At 40.6% G+C, this 13,152-nt stretch overlaps 1 protein-coding gene across 7 annotated transcripts in view; it reads right to left on the bottom strand.

The window, feature by feature from the left end:
* NFU1 (NFU1 iron-sulfur cluster scaffold) overlaps positions 1-13,152 on the bottom strand; it is a 43,818-nt gene that overhangs the window by 16,158 nt on the left and 14,508 nt on the right. For 4 of the 7 annotated variants that reach the window (XM_047443939.1, NM_015700.4, NM_001374284.1 and 1 more), the window contains 3 exons: positions 11,675-11,810; positions 7,631-7,697; positions 3,278-3,392 (listed from right to left, as the gene is read on the bottom strand). In XM_047443939.1, coding sequence (XP_047299895.1) covers positions 3,278-3,392; positions 7,631-7,697; positions 11,675-11,810 — 318 coding nt within the window. The remainder of the gene's footprint in view (positions 1-3,277; positions 3,393-7,630; positions 7,698-11,674; positions 11,811-13,152) is intronic. The other 3 variants (NR_045632.2, NR_045631.2, NM_001002756.2) reach the window with 1 other exon arrangement.

Here is a 13,152-nt window from a genome sequence, read left to right on the forward strand (position 1 = left end):
AAACCTGTTTAAATAAATATAAAAAAGACATATGGGCCAGGTGGCGGTGGTTCATGCTTATAATCTCAGTACTTTGCGATGCTGAGGCAGGAGGATCACTTGAAGACCAGCCTGGGCAACCTAACAAGATCTCATCTCCACAAAAAAAAATTTTTTGGCGGGGGGACGGAGTCTCGCTCTGTCACTAGGCTGGAGTGCAATGGCATGATGTCAGCTCACTGCAACCTCTGCCTCCCAAGTTCAAGCAATTCTCCTGCCTCAGCCTCCCAAGTAGCTGGGACTACAGGCACGTGCCACCATGCCCAGCTGATTTCTGTATTTTTAGCAGAGATGGGGTTTTACCATGTTGGCTAGGATGGTCTCGATCTCTTAACCTCGTGATCTGCCCACCTCAGCCTCCCAAAATGCTGGGATTACAGGTGTGAGCCACTGTGCCAGGCCTCTACAAAAAAATTTTATTTATTTATTTTTTAAAATTTTCATTTATTTATTTTTTTGAGATGGAGTCTCGCCCTGTCTCCCAGGCTGGAGTGCAGTGGCATGATCTCAGCTCACTGCAACCTCCGCCTCCCAGATTCAAGCAATTCTTCTGCCCCAGCCTCCCGAGTAGCTGGGATTACAGGCACGCGCCACCACACCCAGCTAATTTTTGTATTTTTAGTAGAGATGGGGTTTCACCATGTTGGTCAGGCTGGTCTCGAACTCCTGACCTCGTGATCCACCCGCCTCGGCCTCCCAAATTCCTGGGATTACAGGCGTGAGCCACCACGCCCAGCCAAAAAAATTTTAAAAATAAAAACATTAACCAGGCATGGTGGCAGGAGCCTATAATCCCAGCTACTTGGGAGACAGAGGCAGGAGGATTGCTTAAGCCTGGGAAGCTGAGGATGTAGTGAGCCATGATCATGCCACTGCACTCCAGTTTGGGTGACAGAGCAGGTCACTGTCTCAAAAAAAAAAAAAAAAAGACACATGACTCAATTTGTTTTTAAGTAGAAAAGATATAAATAGAAAATTCACTGACAAGAAAAGTAAATGGCCAATAAACATATGAAACTCTTAACACTCAGTATTAATCAAGGAAATGCAATTAAAACAAGATACCGGCCAGGCTCAGTGGCTCATGCCTGTAATCCCAGCACTTTGGGAGGCTGAGGCAGATGGATCAGGAGTTCAAGACCAGACCAGCCAACATGGTGAAACCCCGTCTCTACTAAAAATAGAAAAATTAGTTGGGCATGGTGGCAGGCACCTGTAATCCCAGCTATTCAGGAGGCTGAGGCAGGAGAATCGCTTGAACCCAGGAGGTGGAGGTTGTGGTGAGCTGAGATCGCGCCATTGCACTCCAGCCTGGGCAACAAGAGCGAAACTCCGTTTCAAAAAAAAAAAAGAAAAAAAAACAAGGTACCATTGTATACCCAACATACGGGTAAAAAAAAAAAAAAGACACTAAATGATGACAAAGATATAAGAACATTGAAATTCTTAAAATATACGGCTAATGTGGGCTTAATTAGATCAACTTATGATATAGCAATTCCACTTTTAGGAACATAATCTAAAGAAGCTCTCGGCCAGGCAGGGTGGCTCACGCCTGTAATCCCAACTTTGGAAGGCCAAGGCAGGTGAATCCACTTGAGGTCAGGAGTTCGGGATCAGCCCGGCCAACATGGCAAAACCCCCTCTACTAAAAATACAAAAACTAGCTGGGCGTGGTGGTGCATGCCTGTAATCCCAGCCACTCGGGAGGCTGAGGTAGAAGGATCGCTTGAACCTGGGAAGCAGAGGCTGCAGTGAACTGAGATCATGCCACTGCACTCCAGCCTGGATGACAGAGCAAGACTCTGTCTCAAAAATAAGGCCGGGCACGATGGCTCATGCCTGTAATCCCAGCACTTTGGGAGGCCGAGGCAGGCGAATCATGAGGTCTGGAGTTCAAGACCAGCCTGGCCAACATGGTTAAACTCTGTCTCTACTAAAAATACAAAAATTACCCAGGCATGGTGGTGGGCGCCTGTAATACCAGCTACTTGGAAGGCTGAGGCAGGAGAATCACTGGAACCCAGGAGGCAGAGGCTGCAGTGAGCCGAGATCACGCCACTGCACTCCAGCCTGGGCAACAGAGCAAGACTCTGTCTCCAAAAATAAATAAATAAAAATAAATAAACAAATAAATAAAGAAGCTCTCCACATATTCATAAACAGACTTGTATAAGGATGCTCACTACAGCAATGTTTTCAATAAAAATTAGTACAAAAACTTTACTTGAACATAAAGGAACAAATTAACTATATCTTATTCCTATAATGAAATGCTATCCAGCACATAAAATGAGTAAACTAGAACTATGTTTTTTGAAATGGATATGTTTCAAAAATATTACACTTAGTAAAAAAGACAATTTGCAGTATAATACAAGATATTTAAGGTTAGGCACGGTGGTTCATGCCTGTAATCCCAGCATTTTGAGAGGTTGAAGCCAGGTGATCACTTGAGGTCAGGAATTCAAGACCAGCCTGACAAACATGATGAAACCCCATCTCTACTAAAAATACAAAAATTAGCTGGGTGTGGTGGTGCACACCTGTAATCCCAGCTACTTGGGAGGCTGAGGCATGAGAAACACTTGAACCTGGGAGGTGGGGGTTGCAGTGAGCCAACATTGCGTCACTGCACTCCAACTGGGGTGACAGAGTGAGAGTCTGTCTCTAAAAAAAAAAAAAAAAAAAAAAAACAGAGATTTAAAACTTAAAAACAAAAACTAGTCTTATATATTCCCTGCAGAGACTTACATGTATAGTATAAAACAAAACAAGTTTTCACACATCTCTGGAACTAGGAAGGGAAAAGGGATGGGGGTACAGTGGTTTTAGCGGTTTCTTTTTTTTACTTTATGCTCTATATTCTGACACTGTATGTTTAATATTTTATTTAAAATGAGTCTAAAGCAACTGTGGCAAAAGATAACATTTGTTTTGTTTTTCCCAAAAGCCCATTCTGTAACTTAATTAACATTTGTTAGATATGAGTGGAGGGCAAATTGGTGAGCATGATATTTTCTGCATGTTTGAAAATTTTTATAATTGAAAATTTTTGTTTTATAGAGTAATGCCAATTTATACACAAGCTTTCAAAATGATATATAAATTTGCAGAGCTAAATATATTAAATGATAGAAATCTAGATTCCTATGACTTCTGAAATCAAGGTAAATGTGAAGAAAATAGAAAAGTCTAAAAAAAGGACAAATTTTAATTACTCAATACAACATGTTACCTGCTTCTCCTGAAGGTGTTTCCTCAGTAACCAGGGGTAAGCCAGATGCAAAGAAGTCCATGATTGTTGCATAAATATCTGGTTTCAGTAAATTCCAGTCTAATTCTTCATTTTCCTATAAACATTTAAAGGAAAATGCTGTATTTCCAGGCAACGGCAAAGACCCATACAGAACACTACCTTATACCTCTTTTTTCTTTTTTTTTTTTGAGATGGAGTCTCACTCTGTTGCCCAGGCTGGATGGAGTACAGTGGTGTGATCTTGGCTCACTGCAACCTCCGCCTCCTGGGTTCAAGCGATTCTCCTGCCTCAGCCTCCCAAGTAGCTGGGACTACAGGTGTGTGCCTTGAACATAAAGGAACAAATTAACTATATCTTATTCCTATAATGAAATACTCTCCAGCACGTAAAATGAGTAAACTAGAACTATGTTTTTTGAAATGGATATATTTCAAAATTATTATACTTAGTAAAAAAGGCAATTTGCAGTATAACACAAGATATTTAAGGTTGGGCACGGTGGTTCATGCCTGTAATCCCAGCATTTTGAGAGGTCGAAGCCTGACCTCGTGATCCACCCACCCCGGCCTCCCAAAGTGCAGGGATTACAGGCGTGAGCCACAGCGCCTGGCCCCCTTACACCTCTTAAGAAGCTTTTCCTGGTCAGGTGTGGTAGTTCATGCCTAATCCCAACATTTTGGGAAGCTGAGGCAAGAGGATTGCTTGAGTCCAGGAGTTTAAGACTAGCCTGGGCAACATAGCGAGACTTCGTCTCTTTTTATATTTTTAAAAATAATAAAGGGAAAGGAAGAAAGAAAAAAGAGAAAAAAGCAGCAGAAAAAAGGAAAGGAGGAAGGAAGGCAAGCAGGCAGGCGAAGAGAGGAAGGTAAAAGGGAAAGGAAAAGAAAAGAGATAAAAAGAAAAGAAAAGAGGAAAGGAAAGGAAAAGAAAAAATATCTTTTCCTATATACACACTATACCTATGCAATGGCAACCACTTCTGGAGAATATATATTAGCTCCACATCTTAAAGGGTCCTGTTTAAACGAATTTCAGAAGATAAAATCTTAAAGATCCCCCATTCATTAATTCATTCACTTATTATTATTAATAATATAATTATAATTTATAATTAATAAAAATTAATATTTAATTAATTTAAATATAATTATTAATATATTAGTAATAATATTATTATTAATTCATTCACTTTCATTGTTTTAATTTGATTTAAATGATTAAAAGATGTTTTTCATGATGTGAAGACAAAATATTAAATGGATTTTCTGTCTTTAAAGAAGATGATAAAGAGATTCCCATTCTCTTAAAAAAAACATAGGATGTAATTGCTTGATCAAGTATACGGAACAGCCTACAACTATTCAAAAAATTTACTTATATATATTACTTAAAGGGTATGAAAGAAATTTGGCTGGGCATGGTGGCTCATGCCTGTAATCCCAGCACTTTGGGGAGGCCGAGGCGGGTGGATCACCTGAGGTCAGGAGTTTGAGACCAGCCTGGCCAACATGGTGAAAACCTTTCTCTACTAATAATACAAAAATTAGCCGGCGTGGTTGCAGAGGCCTGTAATCCCAGCTACTAGGGAGGCCAAGGAAGGAGAATCGCTTGAACCCGGGAGGCGGAGGTTGCAGTGAGCCGAGATCGTGCCACTGCCCTCCAGCCTGGGCGACGGAGTGAGACTCCATCTCAAAAAACAAAAAAAGGAAACAATATAGAGATAGTACATAAAAGGTGAGATAAATGGGGACTGCTAAGGTTATAAAAGTAAAACTAGTGAAATATCTTAGTGATTGGGAATGGAAACTAGTTGTAGGTAATAAATTATTTGGAAAACAAATCAGAGTGTTACCTCAGATCTTCAGTAAATAGCAGGCTCTACTAAATAGGAAAATATTGGTAATAAAAAGAAAAAATATTCTAAAGTTGTCTGAATGAGAAAAAAAGGGCAGCATATAAGCTGCAAATATACATATATATTTAGAAAAAAATAACACAAATGATGCATAAAGAAGTCTAATTATCAACTGGAAATCAGAAATAGAAACAGGCGATTGCTGAAGACATTCAGTAAAATGTGATAGTCCATGATGAGAAACATTACTGGAAGAAAACAAAATAAATCCAGTATTCCGTCTATTAAATACCAACGTGGGCCAGGCGTGGTGGCTCACACCTGTAATCCCAACATTTTGGGAGGCCGAGACAGAAGGATTGCATGAGCCCAGGAGTTTGAGACCAGCCTGGGCAACATAGAAGGACACTGTCTCTACAATAAAAAAAAATAAAAAAAAAATTAGCTGGGCATAGTGGCATGCACCTGTAGTCCCAGCTACTCGGGAAGCTGAGACAGCAGGATCGCTTGAGCCTGGGAGTTAGTGGTTGCAGTGACCCATGATCGCACTACTGTATTCCAGCCTGGGGAAACAGAGCAAGATCCCATCTATATGTATGTGTAGATAGATAGATATACACACACACATACATATATGTGTATCAACATATACCCTAACTTGGGATATTATCTATTGGTTATGTCATTTCACTTAAGAAAAAATTGTAGAGCTAGGGCAATTTCAAATAGGGTAACTAAATAATGAAAGTAAGAGAGCTAAAAGATGACTTACTAAATCTAATCAAGAAAAATAGGAAAAAAAAAAAAACCAAAACCCTTTAAGATATAATCACATTTTTACCTATAAAAATTTTTATATAGCATAGGCTATACGTAAAAGAACTAAATAACTTTAAAAAATAAATATATAATTTCCCACTTATAAAATAACTAGTTGTAAGAATTAGATAACATATGTAAAGCACTAGGGCCATATCCGACATTGAATATATTAAATAAATGTTCATCCCTTCTTCTCCTTAAAAAATATGGAAGAAAGAAAACTGAAGAATGGGGGGCTGGACGTGGTGGTTCACACCGGTAATCCCAGCACTTTGGGAGGCCGAGGTGAGCAGATTGTTTGAGCTCAGAAATTTGAGACCAGCCTGGAAAACATGGCGAAACCCTATCTCTACAAAAAATACAAAAATTAGTTGGACATGGTGGTATGCACGTATAGTCCCAGCTACTAGGGAGGCTGAGGTGAGATGACTGCTTAAGCTCAAGAGGCTTAGGCTGCAGTGAGCTGAGATCATGCCACTGCACTCTGACCTGGGTGTGGAGTGAGACTTTGTCTCTAAATAAATAGCCGCAAGAGAATACTGGACTAGATGACTAGATTTAACATGTCACTAACCCAGTATGTCCCCTTTTTTTCTTTTTTGAGATGCAGTCTCGCTCTGTCGCCCAGGCTGGAGTGCAGTGGCCCGATCTCCGCTCACTGCAAGCTCCGCCTCCCGGGTTCACGCCATTCTCCTGCTTCAGCCTCCTGAGTAGCTGGGGCTACAGGCGCCCGCCACCATGCCCGGCTACTTTTTTTTTGTATTTTTAGTAGAGACGGGGTTTCACCATGTTAGCCAGAATGGTTTTGATCTCCTGACCTCATGATCTGCCCACCTCGGCCTCCCAAAGTGCTGGGATTACAGGCGTGAGCCACCACACCCGGCCCCCAGTATGTCCACTTTTAAGGACATAAAGAGCTCAGACTAATCCTTTCAATTTGCTTAAGGGGAGTTTAATAAATATTTTTGATTTTCACACACTATCAGGCAAGTGATTTAAGTTCCGTGGATATATGTCAATTAACAGATTTAAAAGGATACATAGTTCAAATTTAAATAGTTCATGTCCCATTAATCTAGTAGACATCAAAAATGGAACAGCCCTTTCTAGCAGATACTGCCTTGACTGTTGAAAAACATAGCATATTTTTTATAGGCGTGGTGGCTCACGCCTGTAATCCCAGCAATTTGGAGGCCGAGGCGGGTGGATCACCTGAGGTCGGGAGTTCTAGACCAGCCTGGCCAACATGGCGAAACCCTGTCTCTACTAAAAATATAAAAATTAGCTGGGCATGGTGGCAGGCGCCTGCAATCCCAGCTACTCAGGGTGGCGGGGGGGGGCGCCGAGGCAGGAGAATCACTTGGACCTGGGAGGCAGAGGTGGCAGTGAGCCAAGATCGCACCATCACACTCCAGCCTGGGGGACAAGAGCAAGACTTCATCTCAAAAAAAAGAAAAAGAAAAGAAAAAGAAAAACATAGCATATTTCGCTTGATTCTTGTGACATTTAGAGGACAAGAGAGTAAGACCCTGTCTCAAAAATAAAATATAAAAATTAAAGAACAGAAAGAATGGAAATGTTGGAGAGAGAGGCATTGGACTCAGAAAAAAATGAAGAGTATTTCAAGTCTTATTTTATATAATCCTATGTTTACCTTTGTGACAGTGATGAAATCTGGTCCAAAGAAGACACTTTTTACTCCTTCAATCCTAAATAACTGCCTGCAAAAAAAGAAAAAATAAGAGATATTAAAATGCTTGATTATGGAAAAGTTTAAACATACACAAAAGTAGAGAAAAGTAAAAAATTCTCCACATATCCTTTGCAGCTTTAACAATGATCAACTCATGGCCAATTTTGTTTTATATTCCTACTCTACGATTTAGCAATCCCACTCCTAGTTATTTACCCAAAAGAAATAAAAACTCGTGCTCCACAAAGACTTGTACATAAATCTTCATAGCAGCTTCATTTAAAATAGCCACACATACAGAAAAATATGGAAATGTCCATCACCTGGTGAATGAATAGACTGCTATATCTATACTATCAATCATTCATTCAACCAATATTTGACACCTACTAAGTGCCAGGCACTGTACTGAGCACTAAACAGACTATTTTTTTTTTTTTCTCTTTTGAGACGGAGTCACCCTCTGTCCCCCAGGCTGGAGTGCAGTGGTGAGATCTTGGCTCATTGCAACCTCCGCCTCCTGGGTTCAAGCAATTTTCCTGCCTCAGCCTCCCAAGTAGCTGGGATTACAGGCGCCCACCACCACGCCCAGCTAATTTTTGTATTTTAGTAGAGATGGGGTTTCACCATGTTGCCCAGGCTGGTCTCAACTCCTGACCTCAGGTGATCCACCCACCTCCCAAAGTGCTGGGATTACAGGCATGAGCCACCACACCCAGCCTAAACAGACTATTTTCAAAAGACTAACTTGAAAAGAGATTTTGCCAACTGAACATCTGACAGAAATAATCTCTAACTAATCTATAACTGAATTAATTGGGGCTTTTTTACTTTTACTTTTTTAATACAAAATATGAACTCATTCTTGATGTAAATGTTTCAAACAATAAAATTTAAATGCCCCTTGACTACCCCTACCAAATCCTGTTATCAGTTTCGTGTGTATTCTTCCAGATCTTTTTGTCAGTGCATTTGTTGTTCTGTGGTTTTTGCTTTTATATACATAGTATCATATTGGACTCACTGTTCTGCAAGTTGCTTTCTTCACTTGTATGTCTCAGATGTCTATGACAGTAAATACATCCCTGCACGTATCTTGGGCACATGTGCAAGTAACTTCTAGGGTAGGGTTTTTAAAACCCAGTAGTGAGTTGTGGAATCATGTATGTAGTGACAGGGTTTTATGTAATAAAATAAAACAGAACAACAAAAAGAGATGAAGAAAGGAAATTTAAGAATCTATTATCTATTGTAAGGGTGAAAAAATAGTGAAAACTATCCCATCAAACATTTGTATCTCACGCATACACACACATAATGTAAAACACTTTTTACTGTGACTTATATCAAAAAAGTACGAAAAACAGCCTGTAATCCCAGTACTTTGGAAGCCGAGAAGGACAGAACACTTGAGCTCAGGAGTCTGAGACCAGCCTGGGCAACATGATGAGACCTAGTCTCTACAAAAAATACCGAATTTAGCCAGGTGAGGTGGCATGTGCCTATAGTCCCAATTACTAGGGAGGCTAAGGCAGGAGAATAGCTTGAACCCAGGAGGTGGAGGTTGCAGTGAGCCAAGATCACGCCATCACACTCCAGACACTCCAGCCTGGGCAACAAAAGTGAAACCTTATCTCAAAAAATAAATAAAAAGTTAAAAATAAAATATGAAAAACAAACACTCTAAGGTATATTCTGAGAAGTGATATGTTTAAGAAAAAAAAAGTACCTATTAATTATAAATTTTAAAAACGATTCCAGAGCTTAGCAAATCCCTAGGTTCCTTAAACGAGACATATAAAATGGCTGTACGTATAGAAATAGTTACCTGAGCTCTGTTTTCCGAGTATCCCTGGCAATCAGATTGAGGCTTCGGTTCCCCAAAATTTCAACTGATGCTGACTGACTCTACTGACTAATATTCTTTATTATTAACTTCTCTATCAGTTAAAAAGAGGTTCATCCCAACAATTTTATCATTTGTGCTTTTTTTTTTTTTTTTTTTTTTTTTGAGACAGTCTCGCTCTGTCGCCCAGGCTGGAATGCAGTGGCGCTATCTCGGCTCACTGCAAGCTCTGCCTCCCGGGTTCATGCCATTCTCCTGCCTCAGCCTCCCGAGTGGCTAGGACTACAGGCGCCCGCCACCACATCCGGCTAATTTTTTGTATTTTTAGTAGAGATGGGGTTTCACTGTTAGCCAGGATGCTCTCGATCTCCTGACATGATCCGCCCGCCTCGGCCTCCCAAAGTGCTGGGATTACAGGGATGAGCCACCGCACCTGGCCCTGTTCTTTATCATCTCTAACATACAGTAGTCCCCCCTTATCCTCAGGGGATCCATTCCAATGCCCCCAGTGGATCCCTGAAACTACACATAGTATTGAACCCTGCAAGTATTATGTTTTTTTCCTATACATATATACCTATGATAAAGTTTAATTTATAAATTAGGCACAGTAAGAGATTAACAACTGATAATAAAATAGAACAATTATAACAATATGCCAGCAATATGCCAGCATCACTACTTTAAGAGATGGCTTCTAAGTGATCAATGATGCAGCGAGGGTGGTGGGGGGTTCAGCAGAGGGGAGGGCACAGGCAGACAGGGTATATGACATGGATACACTAGAAAAGGGATAATTTATGCCCTGGGGAGGACAGAGCAAGATTTCACCATGCTACTCAGAAAAGCAGCACAATTTAAAACTGATGAATTGTTTATTTCTGGAATTTTCCATTTAATATTTTTAGACTATGGCTGATCTTGGGTAACTGAAACCAGGGAAAGTGAAACCACAGATAAGGGGGGACTACTGGTTTAAACATGCCTTTATCTGGTGAATTTTAAAACTGTCCCCACTGACTAGTTTTCATTTATAGTTCTGAATAGAGTATTTTAGAAATTATTCCATCTTGAAAGAACTACAGATTCAACTACCCTTATGAATAAAATAAGCAAGTTCTCATTATTCTTAAAAATCAGATTTTTTAAGATCTGAAATGGAAATTTACCATATTTATCAATTTGATGAATATTTTTTCTTAAGTAAAAATATAAGTTTTTATTTATTCATGCTATAGATCTCTCAAATATATCACAGGAGAAAATTTTTTTAATATCAACTCTCATTTTTCTTTTCTTTTTTGAGGCAGGGTCTCACTCGCTCGCCTAGGCTGGAATGCAATGGCACAATCATGGCATCACAGCTCATAGTTTCCTTAACCTCCTGGGTTTAAGTGATCCTCCCACCTCAGCCTCCCTAGTAGCTGGGAATACAGACACATACCACCACACTTGGCTAATTTTTGTATTTTTTGTAGACAGGGTTTCACCATGTTGCCCAGGCTGGTCTCCAACTCCTGAGCTCAAGTGATCCCCACCTCCTCAGCCTCCTCAACATTTTTGGGTTTTTTTGAGACAGGGTCTCACTCTGTTGCCCAGGCTGGAGTGCAGTGGCACCATCATGGCTCACTGCAGCCTCAACCTCCCAGGCTCAAGCGATCTTCCCATCTCAGCCTTCTGAGTAGCTGAGACCAGAGGTACACACCATCACACTCAGCTAAATTTGTGTGTGTGTGTGTGTGTGTATGTGTGTGTGTGTGTGGTGAGATGGGCTGTGTGTGTGTGTGGGGGGGGGCGGGTAGAGATGGGCTCTCTGTGTGAGTGTGTGTGTGTGTGTGTGTGTGTGTGTGTGTGTGTGTGTGTGTGTATGTGTGTGTGGTAGAGATGGAGTCTCTCTATGTTGCCCAGGCTGGTCTCAAACTCCTGGACTCAAGCAATCCTCCCACTTCAGCCTTCCAAAGTGTTAGGATTACAGGTGTGAGGCACTGCAACAGGCCTTATTTTTTTTTTAATCTCTCATCTGAAAAGAAATTATTTTCTACACTTAAAAAAAAATGCAGTGCACATAGAAATGCAATAGTTAAACAGAGTTGTCTTAACCCCAAAGTCAGTTAGTTATTTATGTTTCTTGGTAAAAGCAAATGAAAACAGTAATATACCTAGCCAGAGGGGAGCGAAATGCTGCAGCTGGGGTGGGAAAATCCATGGTCCTTGTCTCAAGAACTGGTTTTCCTGGTATAAACTTTAAGCTGTTTGGATTTGGGGTATCTTGTGTTTGAATAAACATGTATCTCACTAAAAAAGAAAAAGAAGAAAATGTTATTCTAGAAAAAACAGTTAACAAGTTTATGGACTATGAAGTGCTCATTTGCAGAGAATCAGAAGAAGTAAGAAAAACTGGGGAAAAACCCAAGGCTTTATTGCCCTGACAAAGCATTTATAAGGATAAGAAAGAAATATATCACCATAGAGCCGGGCGCAGTGGCTCACACCTGTAATCCCAGCACTTAGGGAGGCCGAGGCGGGTGGATTACGAGGTCAGGAGTTCAAGACCAGCCTGGCCAAGATGGTGAAGCCTCGTCTCTACTAAAAATACAAAAATTAGCCAGGCGTGGTGGCGGGTGCCTGTAATCCCAGCTACTTGGGTGACTGAGGCAGAGAATTGCTTGAACCTGCGAGGCGGAGGTTGCAGTGAGCCGAGATTGCACCACTGCACTCCAGCCTGGTGACAAAGTGAGACTCTGTCTCAAAAAAAAAAAAAAAAAAAAAAAAAAAAATATATATATATATATATATATCTCAATATATTTAAGTGCATATAGTTTTCTACTAACACTCTGGTTTATTGGTTTTTGGGTTTTTTGTTTTTGTTTTTGTTTTTTTTGAGACAAGGTCTTGCTCTGTTGCCCAGGCTGGAGTGCAGTGGCACAATCACGGTTCACTACGACCTCAAATTCCAGGGCTCAGGCAATCCTCCTATTTAAGCCTCAAAAGTATCTGGGACTACAGGCGTGCACCATCAGACCTAGTTAATATTTGTATTTTTTTGCAGAGACAGGGTCTCACGCTATTGCCCAGACTGGTCCCAAATTCCTGGACTCAAATGATCCTCCCACCTCAGCCTTCCAAACTGTTGGGATTAGAGTGTGAGCACTGTGCCCAGCCAATACACTGATTATTTAAATAGTTGTGTTATGAAACAGATTCCAGAAATAGTAAACACTTAAGTCTTATACATATTCATAATTCAGGAGTCCTATATATAGTCTATTTGGTGACTTTGTACCAATGGCTATCATAATCACAGATCACTTATTGCTGACATTAATACACTAAAATGCTACATTCTCTTCTTTCTAAAGTGCCACCATTATTTTAAAGACAAAGTTAGCAATTTATAATAGTAATAATAAAGTTATTGTGTGCTTATTATATGCCAAATACAGGGTCAAACGCTTTTTTTTTTTTTTTTGAGGCGGAGTCTCCCTCTGTCGCCCAGGCTGGAGTGCAGTGGCGCCATCTCTGCTCACTACAAGCTCCACCTCCCAGGTTCATGCCATTCTCCTGCCTCAGCCTCCCGAGTAGCTAGGACTACAGGCACCCGCTGCCATGCCCGGCTAATTTTTTCTGTATTTTT

The sequence above is a fragment of the Homo sapiens genome, chromosome 2 (assembly GCF_000001405.40).
Source record: "Homo sapiens chromosome 2, GRCh38.p14 Primary Assembly".
NCBI classification, from domain to species: domain Eukaryota; kingdom Metazoa; phylum Chordata; class Mammalia; order Primates; family Hominidae; genus Homo; species Homo sapiens.